The following is a 23,417-nucleotide window of genomic DNA, read 5'->3' as shown; positions in this document are numbered from 1 at the left end:
TAGGTCTAACATGTACGTCTTTAATCCATCTTGAATTAATTTTTGTATAAGGTGTAAGGAAGGGATCCAGTTTCAGCTTTCTACATATGGCTAGCCAGTTTTTATTCTAATGTCAGATTTACATATGTACTGACATTTGGATTTCATTTTAGATGACTCATGACATTTTGGAAAACATCACTTTTTATATCAAAAATCGTGTTTTGAGAAATGTAAAAAAATAAGTAGGATATACATTTGAACATAAAAGACATTGATGACATGATCATTAATATGAGGAGGTACTAAATGGTACATACTTGCATCATTCTTTTCATTAATCATATGTTTTAATGCACATGGTATTACAATGCTCTGCAGTTATTGCTGTATTAAGAAATACAGTCACTGGTTGTAGGAATATAAGACATTCTTATACAGGAAATTAAAAATCTGTCTTGAATTCTTCTAAGGAACAAATTCCCCTATTTCTACTCAATTTGAACACTGTGAATTTATGCTGGAGTTTTTTTTGTTTGTGTTCTTTTATAAGCCAAAGCTAATGGTGGACTTTTTATTTGGAAATAATTTTGGATTTCCAAAAATAATACAGACATTCCTTTTGCCCACTCTTTGCCCAACGTTACTAATGTTAACTTCTAATCCCAATAAAGTGATCAAACCCAGGAAATTAACATATATATGATAATATTAAAATATCTATAAGCCTTATACAAATGTTGAGCTTTTCCACAAACCCACCATTTATTTTTTTTCTGGTCCAGGATCCAATTTAGGATCCCACATTGCATTTAATTGTTTGACTCCTATATCTCCTCCAATCTGATAGGTCCTCAATCATCCCTTGCCTTTCATGACCTGGAAGCTTTTTGAAAGATGTATGAAATTTTTATATTACAATCAATAGTCCATATTTAAATCAATGAGATAAAATATAAATTTTTCCAAGTTAATGAAATTTCAAAAAATGAAAATTACCTATATTTTTGGTCAAGTATGTTCTTTGAATATCATGGACAATGTGCATCAATAGAAAATATTCAAATATATATTTAATTTATGTGTTATATATGTATAGGCAATACATCTAACATGGTATATGTACTGTGTTTTCTTTTTTAAGCACTGATACAACAAACGGGGTATTTCTTTAGTGTAATTGCTATTGTTCCTTGCAGATCTTAGACAATGGAACATGTGGACGTGGAACAGGTTTTGCTTTGAGCAAATTTCTTCTTTATTTTCATAGAGAATGAATTGATTAGGAGTCTAATGTTGTTTTCCTTTTAAGAGTAGGTAACTTTTCTTCTGTCAGAAACTGATAATTGAAACTTTCATAGTTTTATTGCTGTTCAAACTGTATTTTAAGTACTGATGAAAATTCCAGGGTGAATGTTAAAATCCAAGGGCTCTTGTTGTGGAAGTAATTACTTGCTAAAAAAAGAATTTCAGTTTCCTCCAGCTCATAAAGCAAAACAACATAGTATTTTCTAACAATGCCAAAATTATTTTTTCATGATGTATAATGGAAATCTTCAAATCATTTTTTTCCTAAATCATCAGAATCTATGCCAATGTGCCTGTTTTCTAGCTGTATTATTTTACGCTATATTAAGAATTATTCCTTCAACCTTATTATTTATCTTTCCTACTCTTTAGTTATTATTTTACTTTAACTAGAAACAAGTTTTAAAACATAGGAATTACAAAAATAAATGCCAGCTCTTTAGTAAATATTCTAGTCTCAAAAGTAAATTTAATTTCTTCTGTATATAAATTTCACAAAAAGAAAATGTTATTTTTTTGGACAATAAATTTGCTAGTAATGTACTATATCTTTTCTCTGAATGCCCCTTTTTCTTGTGGTATCTACCTAAAATAATACTAAAAATGGTTTCCTTGTTATAGTTACCCTGTATTGATTACTACTGAATATATTTTCCATATGTCTTAGGAAAAATAATCCTATACTAAATTAAGTCTTTTAAAACAATCTGCATTTTATATTCTACTTCTACTTTTAATTTTTGTAAATACATCTACATATGAGGCTAGAACCAGAAGTTACAGTCTTTGACAATGTCTGGAAGTTTTAAACCAGTGCCAGAGAAACTGGCACTGAATATTTCCTGGCAAAGAATATTTACACTCCTGGCTAGTCTCTGTGTCATTTTCTGCTCAATAAAAATCCTACTTTGATTGACTAAATATTTGGTAATATTAAGGATTTATTGTTAGCTCTACTTTCATTTATATGTTAATGTTTTAATTGAGTTTATGTATTTTTTAAATTGATAAAATGGTATGTGTTTATCATATACATTATGATGTTTTGAAGTATATATACAAGTATATATGTTTCATGAAACAAAGTGATAACTACATGAGATAGTGCTTATGTTAATTAGCTAGAGTTATTATAACAACTGTCTTAGCATTGTTCTATAATACAATATATTGTTATTAACTATAATTACCACTGAGTGTATCTTTTGGAAATGCACACTAAAATATTTACAGATCAAATGATATCATATCTGAAATTTGCTTCAAAATTAGCTAAGTGTAGAGAATGTTGGAGATGTAGATAAAATAAAATTGAACATAATTTGTTGATTGTTGGAGCTTGGAGATTAACCACGTTGGATTTTATTGTAGTCTTATATTACATTTCCATATATATAAATTTTCCATAATAAAATTGTACAATTGCTGTTTCTTTTTCATGTTCACAGTAAAACAGCAGTATCCAAAAGCTTCATCAATAGGGAAAAAGTAATCAAAACTAATAATTTAGCTGCCTTTGTGAGACAAGACAAAGATTTAAGCAAGGAAGTAGTGAAGAATAAAATGTAGTATACCTGTTCTTTTATGGTGGAAAATGGCCATTAGTGAATTTTAATTTTGGTTACATAAACCTATTGATAGTAAAACTACTATGAATCTTTTATAATATTTTAATAGACAGTTCTAACTTTATAAATAGTTTATAAAAGTTATATAAAACAAGCATACCTGGCAAATAAAAGAAAAAATTTATTTAGGAAAACAAAAATAATTTCAAAATAGAAGACAGAAGTAATGTTTTGTTTGGTTTGTTTTTTACCATTCTCCTATGTGGTTCTCAAAGTAATGTCAATGGGACCCTCATGATCTCAAAGATTCTTCAGGGGAGTCCACAAAGCCAAGACTATTTTAATAGTAATGCAAGGGCAGAATTTGCCTTTTTCATGCTGATCCTTTTATGAATATACAATAGAGTTTTTCAGAGGTTATTTAATATGTGACTTCACAAGAGATTTGATACAGAAGTAGCTGTGAAAATTCAGCTGCCTTCTATTAAGTCCAAATTAAGCCGATTTACAAAAATTTAAAACAGCATTCCCCTTCTCATGAATTTTGCTTATCAAATAGTTATTTTTAATAAAGTATTATTTATTTTAACATGGAATAAGATTATTTTAAATGCATTAATAAATATTTTTAATTCCCAATTTTAATTTATAACATGGAAAATATACATAGTTGTAACACATATAAAGAAAAACTCCTTGAGATAATCAGTAATATTAAAGTGGATATGTTTCCCCAAACCAAAAGTTTGAAAGCCACTGCTGTAACGATATCTGCAGTGAAATGTTTTTTTCGAAAAGGAAATATACTTTTTTCTACTTATTAAAAAAATGTGTACAGCATAAAATAAACTGTTTCTGTAACTCACAGTGGATGCATTTTTAAATGTTTACTCATTGATGATCATTCATTTGTCATCCATGGTATGACTTAAATTTTGTTGGGTGCTAGATTAATAGAGTGAACACAACAAAGACCCAGATTCTTAACGTACTAACAATTTAGTAGGAGGACCTGAAATGTAAGTAATTATTACTATAAAATTTTAGGAACAACTGAGGCAACAGTCAAGGAATTTATAAATTCATTGTTCATACCTATACCTATGTATGTGTGTGTATACACACACAGCTATACAGGTGCATCATAATTTATAATTTTGTAATGTATGCAAAGAGAAACACAGACCTGTAATCTTCTATTAAATGGTTCATAATTTTTTAAAAATATATCCTTTAACTTTTAACCTGTTAACTTTAAAGATGTAAGTGTTTATCAACAACTGTACAATGGTTTTGAAGGTACTCAGCAAAACACAAGGCAACAGAGTGGAAAGAATAGGTAATACGTTTTGGAATTATAAATCTCTGTGTTGAAATTCAGCTCTAACACATGTAAATTTTGAGAATAAGTTTGTTCATCTGTAAATAAAATGAACTCCATGTATCTCATAATTGTAAGTGAACCTAACACAAAATCTTGTACTTACTGTATGCTCAACAAATGTTATTTCCTCTTAAAGAGAAATGAACAGAAAAAAAAGAACAAAATGTGATGCTCAAAAAATGAGTCTCCTTTTTTTTCTTATTTAAAACTCCATCTTATGGCCTCAGAAACACAGCTGTTTGAAACAAGCCAAAGAAATTCTTCTGATTTTTGAAAAAGGCATTTGCTATGTACAGTTCCATAATGGACTGGCTACATCTGCAAGGCTAGAAAGACTTAGCAATTATAATAGTGAAGAACACTAAAAATGTTGTTAAGTTTGAAAAGATAGCATTGTCTTCTTAGGAAATAGTGGCTCATTTTCTTTTCTGCATTAGTCACCATCTTTATGAGTTTTTAGAAACAGAGACAAATTAGAACAGATCTCATTGGATCCTAGTTGGCAGTAGTAGAGCTATGTGGATAGCTCTTTATATTATTATTATTATTATTTTAACAATTTTCTTGGATATAACTTACATATCATAAATATCTATTGTTAGTGTACAAATCAATGACTTTAATACATTTATGGACTTGTGCAATCATCACCACAATCTTGTTTTAGAGATTTCCATCTTTGCAAAGACTCCTTTGAGGCTGCTAGCAATCTCTGCTTCCAACATCCCTCATCCAAAAACTAACTACTGATTTACTTCTTGTCTCTGTAAGTTTGCCTTTTCCAAGCATTTCATATAAATTGGATCATTCAATATACAGTTTTGGTGTCTGGTTTCTCTCATTTACTAGTTTTTTAGGTTACTAGTTTTTAGGTTAGTTGTAGCATGTGCCAGTGGTTTGCTCCTTTTTACTGCTAAATATGTTCCATTGTTTAAAAAGTCAACATTTTGTTTTTCCGTGAGATTTTCTCCCATATTTTAAATAATATTTGCATACATGTTTTAGTATACATGTATAATATGTAATTTTTATTGGTTAGTTTACTAGACATAAAATTTCTGGTTGTATGGTAAGTTTCCGTCTAACTATTTAAGAAACTGCCACATAGTCAAGGTGAGTTTGTCATTTTGCATTCTTGCCAGCAATTTTTCATGATTTACTTTGCTTTGTTAAGTAATTGTTTGTGGATATTCATGAGGGATATTATTCTGTAGATTTGTTTTCTTGTGATATCTTTGAGTAATCTCATAATACTGACCATGTAGAATGTGTTGGGAAGTGTTCCTGGCTGTATTTTTCTATAGAGTTTGTGAAGAATTCGTATTATTCATTTTTTGAATATTTGGTAGAATCCACCAATGAAATCACCTGGCCTAAGCTTTCTTTTTCAGTAAGACATCCAGTTACTAATTCAATGCCTTTATTTGTTATAAGACTATTTAAATGTTCTCTTTCTTCTTCAATCAGTTTTGGTAATTTGAGTCTTTCTAAAAATGTATTCATTTCACCTATGTTTTATAACTATTGTCACAAATGTATTCATCATACTTTATCCTTTTCATTTCTCTTAGGTCACACAGTGAAGCCCTTTATTATTCCTAATTTTTATTATAGTGTCTTCAATTTTTTCTTAGTAAAGCTAGTTGAAGATTTGTCAGTTTTGCCAATCTTTTCAAAGACCCAATTTTTGCTTTTATTGATTTTTCTCCATTATTTTTTGTTTTCTATTTTATTGATTTCTGGTCTAAATATCATCTATATCTTTTCTTTCATTTATTTTGTAGTTAGTTAGCTTTTTTCTCCTAGATTCTTAAGGTGAAAAGTTAGTTTATTAGTTGGAGAGCTTTCTTGTTTTGTGACATAGACATTTAAAACTATGTATTTTCCTTTAAGGACTACTTTACTGCATCCCATGCATTTTTTTTCATTTTTATTCACTTCAAAAGATTTCTTAATTCCCTTGTAATTTTTTCTCTTACCTATTGTTTATTTAGAAACATGTTTTTACATTCCCTAATGTTTGGGGATTTTTCCAGTCTCTTTCTGCTCTTGATCTTTAGTTTAGTTTCATTGTAGTTGGAAAACCTATTTGGTATGATTCAATTATTTTGACTTCATTCAGATTTGCAAAGCTTTGTTGATAAATTTGTATATAAAATGGAGAGACATTAAAAGCACAAGCAATTTGTGAGTCTGACAGTTTCCAAGTATGACTATGATTTTACTTTCCACTGAAACTTCTCTCTGTGCTGCACATCTGTGTAACCTTCTTTTGGTTAGATTTGTGTGAACAGTTTGGGCTCTCTCTGGTTTCTGCCAAACATGCACTCAGCCTTCATTTACCCAGGGATATATTGAGAACTTATTAAATCTATTTATGGATGTCCCAATTCCCAGTCTCCCAGTTTAATCCCCAAATAAATTGCAAGTCTGCCACTTGTTTCATCCCCTCCAGCAGTAAAGCTTCTAGTTTTCATACCCTGCCCTGTCTGATAGAATTATCATGACAACTTAGCTGGGGATGGAAGCAGCCCAAGCCAAGTACGACCAAGATTCCCACTTGATATGGTTTGGCTGTGTCCCTACCCAAATGTCATCTTGAATTCCCGTGTGTTGTAGGAGGCACCCGGTGGGAGGTATATGAGTCATGGGGGCGAGTTTTTCTCGTGCTGTTCTCATGATAGTGAATAAGTCTCATGAGATCTGATGGTTTTATAAGGAGGAGTTTCCCTGCATAAGCTCTCTCTTTGCCTTCCGCCATCCACTGAGATGTGACTTTGCCTTCTGCCATGATTGTGAGGCTTTCCCAGCCACGTGGAACTGTAAGTCCATTATAAACCTCTTTCTTTTGTAAATTGCCCAGTCTTGGGTATGTCTTTATCAGCAGCATGAAAACAGACTAATACACCAGTGTTCTTGAAGATCAGCGCTTCTCATGAACAAATGCTGCTTAGTTTGTTGTAAACTTTTGTTTAATTTCCAGAATGCTGAAATGGTTGGTTATTTTTTAAAGTTTTATCCAGCTATACAATTCATTATTTGGGAGAAAATTTTATTTATTTTATTTTGTAATCTATTTAATTATGATTTTGGCAACTTTTTATAATGTATTTCCTGAGATAGTAATAAAAATACCATATTTCTCTGAATTTTTTTACTCATTCTCAAAATTGTTTTGATTGTATAAGATTTTTATACTTAAATATTTTTTTAAGTATTACATATAAAATAAAACACAGATAATGAATGAAATTTATTTTGGCATAAGATTCTTATAAATGATGGTTTCTAAATATTCCATTATAGTATTGATTTCGTGTGCATAAAAAAGAAAGCTGCAGGCCTAATGTACCTCTTTCTAATATACCAGCCAGAATTACTCATCTGAGAACATAATAACAATTCTAAATAATTGAATCAGACTGAAAGAAACAACAATATTCTGAGAGATCTCAGAAATCTGAAGAAAATAGTTCAGATATTTTATCAATATTTCATAAATGAGTCCATTAAGTTTCTGAGGAGGATTGTGACATTCTTAGAATCCTAAAGAAAATTGACAATTAGTCATGAATAAACTCACGGACTGTGTCCTAATCCTGTTATAGAATTATTTTTTTTCTTTTTCTATTTATTATTTTTATTTATTATACTTTAAGTTTTAGGGTACATGTGCACAACGTGAAGGTTTGTTACATATGTATACATGTGCCATGTTGGTGTGCTGCACCCATTAACTCGTCATTAACATTAGGTGTATCTCCTAATGCTATCCCTCCCCCCTTCCCTGACCCCACAACAGGGCCCAGTGTGTGATGTTCCCTGCCCTGTGTCCATGTGTTCTCATTGTTCAGTTCCCACCTATGAATGAGAACATGCAGTGTTTGGTTTTTTGTCCTTGCGATAGTTTGCTGAGAATGATGGTTTCTAGCTTCATCCATGTCCCTACAAAGGACATGAACTCATCATTTTTTATGGCTGCATAGTATTCCATGGTGTATATGTGCCACATTTTCTTAATCCAGTCTATCATTGTTGGACATTTGGCTTGGTTCCAAGTCTTTGCTATTGTGAATAGTGCCGCAATAACCATACGTGTGCATGTGTCTTTATAGCAGCATGATTTATAGTCCTTTGGGTATATACCCAGTAATGGGATGGCTGGGTCAAATGGTATTTCCAGTTCTAGATCCCTGAGGAATCACCACACTGTCTTCCACAATGGTTGAACAGTTTACAGTCCCACCAACAGTGTAAAAGTGTTCCTATGTCTCCACATCCTCTCCAGCACCTGTTGTTTCCTGACTTTTTAATGATTGCCATTCTAACTGGTGTGAGATGGTATCTCATTGTGGTTTTGATTTGCATTTCTCTGATGGCCAGTGATGATGAGCATTTTTTCATGTGTCTTTTGTCTGCATAAATGTCTTCTTTTGAGAAGTGTCTGTTCATATCCTTCCCCCACTTGTTGATGGGGTTGTTTTTTTCTTGTAAATTTGTTTGAGTTCATTGTAGATTCTGGATATTAGCCCTTTGTCAGATGAGGAGATTGCAAAAATTTTCTCCCATTCTGTAGGTTGCCTGTTCACTCTGATGGTAGTTTCTTTTGCTGTGCAGAAGCTCTTTAGTTTAATTAGATCCCATTTGTCAATTTTGGCTTTTGTTGCCATTGCTTTTGGTGTTTTAGACATGAAGTCCTTGCCCATGCCTATGTCCTGAATGGTAATGCCTAGGTTTTCTGCTGGGATTATTATGGTTTTAGGTCTAACATGCACGTCTTTAATCCATCTTGAATTAATTTTTGTATAAGGTGTAAGGAAGGGATCCAGTTTCAGCTTTCTACATATGGCTAGCCAGTTTTCCCAGCACTATTTATTAAATAGGGAATCCTTTCCCCATTTCTTGTTTTTGTCAGGTTTGTCAAAGATCAGATAGTTGTAGATATGTGGCATTATTTCTGAGGGCTCTGTCCTGTTACATTGATCTATATCTCTGTTTTGGTACCAGTACCATGTTGTTTTGGTTACTGTAGCCTTGTAGTATAGTTTGAAGTCAGGAGGTGTGATGCCTCCAGCTTTGTTCTTTTGGCTTAGGATTGACTTGGCTATGCGGGCTCTTTTTTGGTTCCATATGAACTTTAAAGTAGTTTTTTCCGATTATGTGAAGAAAGTCATTGGAAGCTTAATGGGGATGGCACTGAATCTATAAATTACCTTGGGCAGTGTGGCCATTTTCACAATATTGATTCTTCCTACCCATGAGCATGGAATCATGGAATGTTCTTCCATTTGTTTGTATCCTCTTTTATTTCATTGAGCAGTAGTTTGTAGTTCTTCTTGAAGAGGTCCTTCACATCCCTTGTGAGTTGGATTCCTAGGTAAATGTAATCCAGCATATGAACAGAACCAACGACAAAAACCACATGATTATCTCAATAGATGCACAAAAGGCCTTTGACAAAATTCAACAGCGCTTCATGATAAAAACTCTCAATAAATTAGGTATTGATGGGACGTATCTCAAAATAATAAGAGCTATCTATGACAAACCCACAGCCAATATCATACTGAATGGGCAAAAACTGGAAGCATTCCCTTTGAAAACTGGCAGAAGACAGGGATGCCCTCTGTCACCACTCCTATTCAACATAGTGTTGGAAGTTCTGGCTAGGACAATCAGGCAGGAGAAGGAAATAAAGGGTATTCAATTAGGAAAAGAGGAAGTCAAATTGTCCCTTTTTGCAGATGACATGGTTGTATATCTAGAAAACCCCATCATCTCAGCCCAAAATCTCCTTAAGCTGATAAGCAACTTCAGAAAAGTCTCAGGATACAAAATCAGTGTGCAAAAATCACAAGCATTCTTATACACCAACAGAATTCTTACCTCTCCTTGCCTTCATTGCTACTCAGTGGTAAAGTTTTTCTACCTAAAATTTTAAAAATCTGAGCAGAAGTGATTAAGAACAGCTTTTAAAAAAGACAAAAATAGCTAATCAGACTTTCCATTTTCTTGTATTTATCAGTGGAATTTCCAACACTGGCAATATGTGAAAACATAGAGTTGATTATGTATTCATTTTGCAGGGAAGATACATATATGCATACATACAAATAAACACAGCAATAAGCCCTCTGTCAAATATAGGAGAAGATTTTTTGAATTAAATGTATTACATTTGTAATAATGGTCTTATTTGCATACATTTATTAGTCCCACTAGGCAACCAAATAAATCATATATGCAAAAATCCAAAGAAAATAATGATAATCATAAATATTTAGGGGACATAAAATATAAAAATAAACATATTATTTTCTTTGTACTTACAGGTTTTCTATTTTCTTCTGAAATAAGTTGAAAGTATAACTGTTTCTTCCAAATACAAATATTCTCCTCTTTTTTCCTTGATTATAAGTGTTTATAATGAAAATCTACAAGCCTAAAATAGAAGTTATTCAGAGATTTATATTCAGACTCTAGATGAAGCATGGTAAGGATAGTTCTATATATCCTATTGATAGTTCTCAAAGATATAATATTGTGATTAGCGGATTAGTTTTAAAAAAGCAACTACAACAAAATTCTCATCTTCTACCTTAATAATTACAAATACTATAAACACAATTTGTCCACCTTCTATAACGTTAAATCTATTTTAAATAATGTGGACTAACAGAAGGAAGAGTCACAACAAATAAGGGCTATCTCCTACTATAAAAAAGAAGATATGTAATATTGAATATGGAATCAGCCTTATACTAGATATGAGATAGGTATGGGAAAAGTCTGTGGTACAGTCCTTGCTTAAAGAACTTACAAAATACTTGAAGTGGAACTAATGTACATGAAACAATGAACACATGAAACTATATATTGAAAATTAAAATGTTTCACAAACTATGTGTACATATATTTACGTGTACAAATTTTTGCAATGCTTCTCTTTGTTCAAATAATTTTACCAATGGAATATAGAGAACACGTATTTACCCATTTTCTCATGAATATTTTTGTTACTCTGCTTTCCTTTATAGCTAGAGATCTCAAAGGCAAATGCCCACCTCGCTCTCAGCTTGTAGTAGCTAAATGGATAAATGCATGTATCATTCTCAACCTTTTTCTTGTATGTATACTTATAAATGTATATATTTGCATGTATGTATATATAATAATATAATATATTGTAATATGTAAAATATTTCCTGTAAAATATGGTAGTGGTAACAATTATAAAGCTAAAAATAGAAGCCATAATTTTACAATTTCTATTTTTTCCTTTACTTCTTGCGTTTTTTACACACATGTGCACACACACTAAAAGTTGAAAGTACATTGTAATATAGTTCAGATACATATCTTTAATATGGTATAAATTGCCCAATAAATACATTTTCCTTTTACATCAAAAGCTCTTCAAAAATATAAATGTAATGACTGGTTCTTATTACATTGTACAGACGTTTAATTATTTACTTCAACCACTTTCTAATTGATTGGCATTTATGTCGTTTTCCCCTTTCCATTATTATAAACAATGCTGCAATGAAAAAAATGCTGCCTTAATGTTTATTATTCCCTTACAATATATTTACAGAAGTAAAATTAGTGAGTAAAAGGAAAAGGATATTTTGGACATTCCTTAAACATCTTCTCAAATTGCTTATCAGAAAAGTTCTGCTACTTTGCACTCCCAAACTAAGAAATTGTTTTTCATTCATTTTTCACTATGGAAATTTTAAATCATATAATTTTCAGGGAAAGATATTGTAACTTAGTTCAGAAGCCAAATTTTATATCATGTTGCTCTAAGTATTATTTCTTTGATTAATTATCAGGTTGATATTTTGTCCAATATTTTATAATTTAATTGTCTCCTAAGCATCCTGGTGGTGAGGGAGAGATTCCTGCCTGTCCTGGGGTTATGGCGAGGGCTAAGCATATTGCACCTGACACTGGACAGATGACATCAACAGCAGCTTATTAGTCACATATGCTCAAAGTTTGGGGGAACAGGACACCACACATGACACAGAGCCACACGGGGGTTGTGCTGGGGAACACTGAACAACCAAAGGCTGTGCAAGGCTGGGTTTTTAGTATCAAAAGGTTGGAGCGCCCCTAGGTCCTACAGGAAGACTTGTTTGGCTCCGCTGAATAGTTCCTCAGACTGGCAGGTAACAGAAACCCCTCACCCCCTTGATAAAGAGGATTGTTTGGCAAGGGGACCTGATACATCAGAGCAGAGTTGGCGGGGGTGGGGCAGGGGGCGGGGGGAACTTGTGGTTCGACCCTCCTGATTTTACCAGAAAATTACGCAGCATCTAATATTGAGTCTTAACTATAGCCTTTAGATCACAATTAGCTCTGTTTCTTTCCTTTCAGTGACTTATCTACTTAACATGCAGGATAATAGATTATTTTTATTTTGTTTGTTTTGTTTTGCTGCAACACAGAGTACATAAAAGGGACCAGAGTATATACAAAGCTAGGGCCAGAATATGTTGGGCCCAGTAGACAAATAAATAGTCTAAGTTTAATTTGATAGGGAAGATTGGCATCTTGAAATCATTGAAAATATAGCTTCGTTTATTAAGTCTTTTTTTTAAAAAGATTTGTTTTGTTTGCTTCAAAGTTGAATTCTGAAGGAAGCTTAATCATAATGAATGAATAAGATACACAGAAGTTTGAATAAATAGGTTGGATCACCTTTGCTTGAGAGTATACTGCTGTTCTCAAATGTGATATATTAAATAAAGAGGTACTGAGGCAAAATATGGTGAGCTACTCCATGTGATTTGGATAAGTTATGGCTAAGAGTCACTTAACATTTCTCCAATATCAATTATATGAACATTTTATTAGAAAACTAATTTTTTTCACGTCAGCCAACTCTTAAAATAGAGTTAAAACAATTATGCCATCTCTTCTGCTTCTCGTGGAAGACCAAAAGAAAGTAAAACTGTCACCCTCAGTACAAGTGTGTTCCATCCTAACTGCTGGAATATCCGTGGAACAAAACAGATCCTACAAGTGGGTCTTAACACTGAATTTCTCCTTTCTCATATAAGATGGCTTTTTCTATTTTATTATTTTGACAGTGCAATTACATAGTATTCATTTTCTTTCTTTCTTTTTTTTTTTGTTTTGAGGTGGAGCCTTACTCTGTCACCCAGGCTGGAGTGCAGTGGCGCAATCTCAGCTGACTGCAACCTCTGCCACCCAGGTTCAAGTGATTCTCCTGCCTCAGCCTCCCGAATAAGTGGGATTACAGGTGCCTGCCACCACGACTGGCTAATTTTTGTAGCTTTTTAGTAGAGACAGGGTTTCACCATCTTGGCCAGGCTGGTCTTGAACTCTTGACCTCGTGATTAGCCCGCCTTGGCCTCCCAAAGTGTTCGCTTTTTCATTGTAAGCCTTGCTTAGGAATATATTGAGCATAAAGCTATGGAAGTAGAGTAAAGCTCAGATTGAATCTCTTCTGAAATCACGATTTCTTCCTGGTAAATTCTGGTGAAAATGTGGATTTATTTACTCAGTAACAAAGGAAGTTTTTATTCTCAGGGTGAGTTCCACAGAAACATTATCATTTCTCCTGACAGATTGCTTGGTTATTGTGTTCCTGCTAAGGAAGTGACATTATAGGCTTTGCTTCCAGCTGGAGGTAGCTTAGCACATTTTCTTATCCACTCTTAATAAAACAAAATTAAAGGAATGAATAATTGATTCCATGAGAGTGAAGACATTCACAATATTCAAGGATAGGAGGATAGATGGTAATATTAATGTGAAACATAAGCATACAAATGTAAAATGTATGTGAACTGGCAGTAGAAAAATAAGCAAGGGGAAATGGGATTCAATAAAGGAGTAAGGATTTATATTGATTTTCTAGAATATTTTCTTGACAATTAGAGTGATGATCAAAGGTAGGAAGAACAAGGATGTGAAAGTCAAGAGAAAAACGATGAGTTCTCAGCTTTTTTGTATGCTGGACATCCTACAGCAAGTTTCTAACCCTCCTTAGCAGTCTCAGCTGCTTTGTTGTAAAAATGGTATGAATAGTACGTAACTCAAAATGTTGTGGAGGTGGTTAAAGAAAGGCAACGCAAAAAAAGCTACGGGATAGTGTCAGACACATAGGAGAAACTTTGCAAGTGTTACTTTCTCTTTTCTTCCATCCCTGAAGACAATACTGAAGAGATTGAGAAAAATCAAATACACTAAACATAAAATAATATTGGCACAAAAACAAAAATCAAATAAAATCCATCTGTTCAAAGTCATGTGTTTTGAGATGTTTTGACAAAAGATCAATACATCCTATATAATAGAAAATTAGATGAAAATAAATAAAAGCAGCTCACTTTTTGCTTAAAGCATAATTTCAATGGGATGTTTGAATCTTGTTAGCCCAGTTATTAACACCATGAAATACATTTTTGTCGCTTCCAGATAGTAGTAATTATTTTTAATAGAGTAATGAAAATAACCAAAAATAACTGTACTAAATAACTCTTCAATGAAAAAATAGCCCCTGATATATATAGGAAAGTAGAAGCTGTTGAATTGTATTGAATACCTCCTTCACCGAAGGCAAATTGATTTTGATGAGAACAGGTTCAGCCTGTAGTGTAAAAATAATCTAGCATCTGGATTTCATTTATATACCTAAAATGACTCAGCAAATATAGAACTTTTCTCTCTAAATCCATTTTCAACTCCCTCCAAAATAGTGGTTAGTATAATAATTATTACATAATCAGGCATATAAGGCACTTTGTTCTATATAGATATGCATACCAAGATATAGAAATATTAAGCCAATTGCTTATTCATTTAACAGATATATATGCAATTCATATTTGGATTATAATGCTAAAAGCTATAATATTAAAAGATGCAATAATCTTATCTTTATAATGTTTGAAAAAGATAGATATAAACATACATAAAACTGTATGCAGTAATAGAGAAATGGAGATTATACTGACAAAACAAATATAATGTTTCCTAACTAATTAGTTGTGGCTACAGATTGAACCATGCATTATAACTTGTGGGCTGCCTAAGCCAAAAGCATTTTCTCTCCTTGGTCTTGACTGAGAAATGCTGGCTTCCAACACCTTTTTTCATATCTTGGTAGTTTCTCTTTTATTATTTGGTTGCAACTTCTCCCATCACTCTTCTCTAAAACTGAATGGGGAAAGGAGGGACTGGAGTGTGCTACCCTCAAACCCATACCTTCTGATTCTAAACCCAGTGAACTGGCATAAACCAGACAGGAGACTCACTGCCAAGTCACTTCTTTGGAGAAAGAATATGGGCTTCACTCTTGCTTTCCCTTATATTAGCTGCGTTGCCTGGAGTGTTTAACCTCTCAAAGCCTCATTTTCCTCACATGCAAAATGCAGGGCTTTTTTTTTTTTCCATTTGCTCTTTTATTTTAAAATCCAATGAGATAATGTAATTTTAAAGGCATTTTCTAAGAATAGAATACAATATGCATATATTATTTTACCCAGCCCATTTCCCTTCATCCCTACCCTCTATCACTGCTCAATCATTGCTGTATCTACTATAACACAAATGTCTTGCACATTTTTCTACCAAAATAATGTCTACATATGTTGTGTGCACAACAAATTTCTGAGTATGATTTTCATCCTTGTATTAGTTTTCTGTCACTGCATAACAAATTTAATGAGTTAAAACAACACATATTCACTATCTTGTCATTCTCATGGGTCAATAATCCAGGCATGGCTTAACTGGGTTCCCTGATCATGAACTTACAAACTATAATCTATGTTAGTTGTGCTGTATCCCTTTCTGGAGCTTGGGAGACCTCTTCCAAACTCATGTGGTTGTTGGTAGGATTCAGTCTCTTGTAGGTGTGGAACTGAATTCCCCATACTCTTGCTATCAGCCAGGGACAACTGAGCCCCAAGAGGTCTCTCTCAGTTTATTTCTGTGAGGTCCACTAACATGTGACAGCTTACTTCTTGAAGGCCAGGAGTAAATCTCTCACTCTAACCTCTTAAGATGGAATCCAATCTAAAATAATTATGGTAGTGGCTATCCATCACCTTTGCCAGATCTTATTGATAAGAAGCAAGTCACAAGTTCTGCCTTCACTCAAACGGAAGGGAATATACCAGGAAGTGGCTCATTGGAAATCATGATAGAGTATTTCTGCCACAATCCCATATTAAGTCAAGAAATCCAACAAAAGACACTATATTTAATTTTGAATTAGAATAGTATTTTTCTTCCTACTTACATTTTATATAAGGAAAACTGACATTTATTTTATCAAGCACATCATAGCTTTACACTAATGTAAGTTTACACCATTTTATTTCCATCATCGTAGAGTTTCATAAGTGTTTCTCAAAAAAAAAAAGAATTTTCTTTAACACCATAGTGAATGACCTCACCCCACGTCCTGGCCTGCCATCAATTTAGTATCAAGGCCAAACCTATAAAGTGACCCTATTTTCCAATTTTGTGACATCCAGTTTCATATCAAATAATCATTTTGTTTTGGACCCTAAGTACTGCTAAATGAAATAAATTTCCTTTTCATTGCCTTTTATAGAAGTATCCGGCAAACCCTTCAGATTTAGTCTTTATGCTTCTAATTTTGCAATTGTCTTATATAAGCTAAAATGAAGAAAAAAGAAAATCTTTATGTCATTACATGAATGAAGAATGCATTTGTGAATGTGGCAGTCCTGACAAATTTTCTTGGTAGGAATTATTCCAAGTCTATAAAGAGGAGAAAATCCTATGTGCTTTGAGTAAAATTACTTTAACAGCATGCATCATCTGTCATTTGAAAAGTGTGTTCCACAAAGCCAGAATACCAGTGTCATTTTTGTGTATTTTTTTACTCGTCTTCCTTATTTCCCATGCCAATGGTCATTTCAGTCATATGGCAGGCCATCTTGGACTCATCTCATGCAATATACTGTGAATATGGACAGGCTTTTGTACATTCTTTGAACTGTACATAACATTTTAATATTAATATTATTTAGATTACATTAGAAAAGAGGTGTGAATGCAAGTTCATGGAAATGTGAGATGAATTGTTCTCTTCAAATTTTTCATGTACATAAAGGATATATATTTAAAACCAGAAAAAGTCCAGGCGCGGTGGCTCACGCCTGTAATTCCAGAACTTTGGGAGGCCAAGGCAGGCATCATCTGAGGTCAGGAATTTGAGACCAGCCTGGCCAACATGGCAAAAACCCCTGTCTACCAAAAGTACACAAAATTAGCTGGGCGTGGTGGCAGGAGCCTGTAATCCCAGCTACTAGGGAGGCCGAGGCAGGAGAATAGCTTGAGCCTGGAGGCGGAGGTTGCAGTGGGCCAAGATCGCACCACTGCACTCCAGCTTGGGGAACAGAGCGAGAGTCCATCTCAAAATAAATTAAAAAATAAAAAATAAAACTAGAAACAAAAGGATGCTGAACAGCAATTTTCATGCCTGGAGCAATTGGCTGGATAAGAAAAAGCTAATAGGAATAAGTGAATTTATTATTGGAATACTCAGGATTAGAGTTCGATTAAACTTGGCATGAGTGTGCTGTTTCTGTTTTGATGTTGCTGAAAACTGTAAAATATGGATTGTTATTAAGGTGATTGATGTACATTGTTGTGTTTATAGGAATTTTTTTTTAAATACTGACCAATAATTGGATAAATAGTGAAAATTCTTTAGGTCTTCATGTTTGAGAATTAATGAACAAACTGTTTCATTTGATAGGACAAAAAGGGAAATAACTGAATTTTTAATATAATTTGGTTTACTTTCTTAAACACTTTTATGTATAATTTGTAACACAGAGATAAGTCAGTGAAATAATATAAAATTAAATTCTCACAGCCTTACTCAAGAGTGTAAGTAATGTGTAAACTACATAAAAATAAATTTAATGAACTATCCTTTGGGGACTTTTCTATTATTCTTGGTATTTTATAGGCATTATTATTTGTATAATCTGTTTTCTTCTTTAGCCCAACCAATGACATGACTGAACTACGCAATATATTTTTATTCTAGGATAACTTTATTATAAAAAATCAACACAGTTGATTTAAACTATTCATAAGATACAGTATGTTCATTAATACCAATTTTGCTTTCCGTTGATGCTTAGATACAGGATATGAGGGTATTGAAATTAAACAAGTATTTTAATTTTATCCAAATGTAATGTTCTAATTATAACCTCATAATATTTTAGTATATATTTTAATGTTGAAAATAAAACATTCTTTGTGATACTTTAAAATACCAGAGCTTTCATTGTAGCAGATTAATAAACACATAAAATTAGATGTAATCTGTAAATTTAAATGCAAATGTAAAGATTTTTCCTTAGTATGCTCATGTTTGTGTTGTGCATAGCTTATTTTTAAAGTGACTCCAAAGTAGCATATTTATCAAATACTTATAATGTACATAGAGACTTAAATTGTAATTCTCAGGTTAGTAGAGGTAATGCATTTTCTTAATGGTTTTGCCACTTTTATCATTGAATTTCTCTTTTCTATAAATATCCCAACCTTTGAAGGTTTTCTAAATTTTAAACTTCTCTATAACACTTTCTTAACCACAGATATGCTTATGTATTGTGAAATTACCATAACTTATGACTTTCTTTTTTAGTAAAGCACTTATGTTATCTGGAGTAACTATTGGTTTACATGTCTCTGTATGCTGTCATACTGTGAACACAAGAACAAGACCATTTTCATGGCATCTGAAGAAGCATTTCATCAATGTTTTGAGATGAAACAAAAGCAGAGAGATGACCTTATCTTGATAAAAATTTGTCAAAAGTTGAAAAACAATGATACTATACACATCACTTGTCAAGGGTCATTTACTTCTAAGAATTTCAGTTCAAAATTAATGTTGCTTCTTGAGTTTACAAAAAATTCTATTGGTATTCTGCTTTCTAGATTTGAGGAGTGGTGTTAGATTTTTATAGAAATATTTTTATTCATTTTATCTATATTTGAAATATAAAACATTACAGTACAACTATAGAAATGTGAAATCAAAATATCCAGATTCAATTCTTTAAAATTATATAAATTCAATTTCTTTTCACGACATTCAAATTAGGGTAGAAGCAGCTACTATAAAATAAACAAACAAATGTTATTTTTCCTGGGTCTATTTATTTTCTAACGTTCTATTCTTCAAAAATTTCTTGATCTTCTTATGCAACTTAATTGTCTACATGAGAAACAATAGCAGCTGGGCACAGTGGCTCATACCTGTAATCCCAGAACTTTTGGAAGGCTGAGGCAAAAGGGTCACTTGAGCCTAGGAGGTTGAAACCAGCCTGGGCAATATAGCCAGACTGGGTGTCTACTAAAAATAAAAAAAAATTAGGTGGGCATGGTGGCATGTAGTAGTCCCAGCTACTCAGGAGGCTAAGGTGGGAGGATCCCTGAGCCCATGAGTTTGAGGCTGCAGTGAGCTATGATCACACCATTGCACTCCAGCAAGGGCAACAGAGTGAAATTTTGTCTCAAAACAAAAACAATAGCAGCAATGTCAACAAGAGGAACAGTAATTGTTGAAAATTAACTATATGACTGAAATTGTTTCTATGTATATAGTCTCATTTCTCACAGGATTGTCATGACTGTATTATTCTATTTACCAAAGACATGAGGCTTATGAAGTATATTTCAAAAGCATTTTGAAGTCACTATTGTGAGACTATACATTACAAAATTAAATAATTATTGTGCCTGTGCTACTTTATTGAGATGGTTATAATTACAGTTTCTCATCACTGATCCTTTACCAGAGGGTTTTAGAAGGTGCTCAGCTACTAGAAATCAAATGACTCTAAGGACCCAACTACTTCACCTTCAAGACACTGTCATTTGCAGAATGAAACTATAACCAATTTTTGTAAGTCCTTCATGCCAATGAATAGATTTTGAAGTTCCACAACTACACTTTTTTGTTTGTTTTCTGTTTCTGTCTCCTATGTTGGCAAGGCTGGTCTTGAACTCCTGGCCTCAAGCAATCCTCCCACCTTGGCCTCCCAAAGTGCTGGGATTACAGGCATGAGCCACCACACTCAGCCTGCAACTACACTTTTAGCCATACCTCTATAAGTTATAGCAATCTTAAGTCTATTTGTGGATTCTCAGTTCTGATATGGACTTGCTGGGAAAAGAAAAACTATTTTTAAAGATATTCAAATAGAAGGAAAGCCCCAAAATATGTGTCTAAAGTATTGGTGTTATTTAGGATCTGTTCCCATGTTTGTAACCCATTTGTTACTATAGAAGGAATTCTGCCAAAGGATTTTCTTGTTTTAGTTTTACAACAATGTCAATCTTTCTAATTTTTATAGCTTAAAAATTCAAGATTGCCCAATAGTCACATTAGGTTTAAAATAATTAACATGCATTGCTTTCATTAAAACAGGGGTTTTCAACCTTGGCTCTGTTGACATTTTGGCCTGGAAAATCCTAGGAAGATACCCTGTGCATTGTAGGATGTTTAGCAACATCCCTGGCCTCTATCCACTAAATGCCAGTAGCATCGTTCCACGGTGACAACCAAAAATGTTTCTAGACATGGACCAATATACCCTGGGAGGAAAAGTCACCCCCATTTGAGAGCCACTGCTTTAAAAGAAAAGAGTTCAAGCCTGTAATTCCAGCACTGTGAGAGGCCGAGGCAGGAGGATTGCTTCAGCTTAGGAGTTTGAGACCAGCTTGGACAACATAGTGAGACCTTGTCTCTACAAAAGATAAAAAGAATAGAGCTATTCAAATATTTCATTATTTGTCATGATTAATATGTGTTTGTTTCTTGCCTTTCAAAATAATGGTCTTAAAACCACTATGCATTAAAGTGTACTCATGTGCCACATAATGTTTTGGTCAGTGATGAGCCATATATGCAACAATGTCCCATAAGATTACAGTACAGTACATTCACTGTAGTTTTTCCATGTTTAGGTATGTTTCATGCTCTATATACTTGCTAATTTTTAGCTATTTTTTAAAAAACACAGAAACTAAAAATATAAACACTTATATTTATCTCAATTAGGTTTCTCATAATAATATTATTCACCCTGGTCTTTTCATGTGGCTAATTCCAGAAGAACCTGTACTGCAAAGTAAGAAACAGTTTACTAAGATGTTCATCAGTCAAGAATAATTTTATCGTGTCTTGTAGAAAGTGTCAGGTTAATACACAAACAATATTAGTTGGTTAATTAAGGCTGAAAAATAAATAATTTATAAATTATGATCATGTTTTCACTTTATAAATTACAATTGTATGTATGATTGGATTGTGTCTTCTCAATTTGGAATAGTCATTACTGCTCTTCTATAAGTAAAATGTTCCTTAGTCTCATAAGTGAATTGTATGCTCTGGGAACATCCTCTCATAAAATTTTTACAAAATACCTAGTCAAAAATTGGCAAGTCCTGGGTATATTACTGAATATGGCTGAATTAGAAAAATTACTTGTTAATATCAGGTCAATCATTGGAGAGTCTACCAAGATCTCAGAAAATCCTATTTTATATTATCAAAATCAGAATAACATACTTTGGTTTTGGTGTTCATTTCCAATATTCATGTTATATTTAGCTTCTGGATACCAGACCTACTTTTTGTGCTCTCTGTAACTTGTGATAACTATTGTCCCTTCTTAAATTAGTACTAATAATTTGCTAATTGTTTAATACAGGTAATGGATTAGGAATTAGAATTGTGGGTGGTAAAGAAATCCCGGGACATAGTGGAGAAATTGGAGCCTATATTGCCAAGATTCTTCCTGGGGGAAGTGCGGAACAGACGGGGAAGCTTATGGAAGGTAAGAATAAGGAATTTTACAGTAAAATAAAATGAATGCACTCATATTAAATACATTTTAATTTAATATGCAAATGTTCTCATCCTTCTCTGTGTAGGTAAACCTCTCTCCTTATGGTTAGTTGTGAAATTTTGGTATAGTAATATGAAAGAAAACATGTCCACAAATATATTCATTTTATTTTCAATTGCATTGTCCTTTTGGCAGTTGGCTACAGAAGTATCTTGTTTAAGAAACACTAGTCAAAACTTTTTTACTGACTGGGGCAATTTTATTAAAAAACACTTTAGTTATCTGTGATAATGTTTCACAAACACCAAGAAAAGTTATATTGAAATTAGAGCTACAAAAAAAATCAAATGATCCAGTACACACTAAGGTTGGGTAAGCAAACTATGGATGGCCCACAGGCTTTATCCATCTGCTGCCTGCTTCTGTAAATACTGTTTTATTGGAACACAGTCATGATCATTAATTTACATATCAAGCCTGGGTGCTTTACCAAAACAATAGCAGAACTGCATTCATGACAGAGAATGTATGGTCTGCAGCATCTAAACTATTTACTCCTGGCCCTTTACAGAAAACATTTGCTAACCCCTGTACTAGGTGTGGTCTATTTTTAGATACTAATCGCCTCATTACATCAAAAGTGTTTTAAAGTAATGATCATTAGAGTAGGAGATAATGGGCCATAAAATATGTACTTAATCATTTTCATTCAGTAAAATATTAGACCTAGATTCTCAAAATACATAATGAAAATTTTCAATTGTCAATCAGATAGTATGGTCATTTCCATTCTCCAGATTCTCTAACATAAATATAGTTTGCAAGGTTTTGATGATATTTTTATAATGAACATTGTCACAAAGTAAATGCAACCTTTTTATTTTTACTCTAAATATAATATTATTTGAAATAAATGTTTTTCTGTCATTTCATAGTTTAATAAAATTTTGTCTGCTGTTGCTTAAAAACTTTAATCATGCTAAAAATGACTCACTGTGATTTTCTCGAATTAAATATATTGGAACCTACCAGAAAATGTCCCTGGACATTTTGATAGACTATTAGAATAAACACAAATTAGAAGCAGTATTTATTCATCACAATGTTATGCTGGAGCCAGGTTGCTCCACATCAATAAGATATTCTGTACAAATCTCTTCCCAACTTCAAATTCAGTAACATCATGATGATAGCTTGAATTGGCTATAGTGGCAGCATTTACAATGTGGAAATAGGCAAATGCTATAACTCAAACCTTTTTGTTTGCTTGCTTGCTTAATTATT

General features: G+C 32.8%; 1 protein-coding gene across 7 annotated transcripts in view; it reads left to right on the top strand.

Annotated features, from left to right (window-relative positions):
• PCLO (piccolo presynaptic cytomatrix protein) overlaps nucleotides 1-23,417 on the top strand; it is a 408,873-nt gene that overhangs the window by 261,427 nt on the left and 124,029 nt on the right. For all 7 annotated transcript variants that reach the window (XM_017012006.3, XM_047420211.1, NM_033026.6 and 4 more), the window contains one exon: nucleotides 21,996-22,121. In XM_017012006.3, the coding sequence (XP_016867495.1) occupies nucleotides 21,996-22,121 (126 nt within the window). The remainder of the gene's footprint in view (nucleotides 1-21,995; nucleotides 22,122-23,417) is intronic.

The sequence above is a fragment of the Homo sapiens genome, chromosome 7 (genome assembly GCF_000001405.40).
Source record: "Homo sapiens chromosome 7, GRCh38.p14 Primary Assembly".
Lineage (NCBI taxonomy): Eukaryota > Metazoa > Chordata > Mammalia > Primates > Hominidae > Homo > Homo sapiens.
This window is presented reverse-complemented; position numbering and strand designations above follow the sequence as displayed.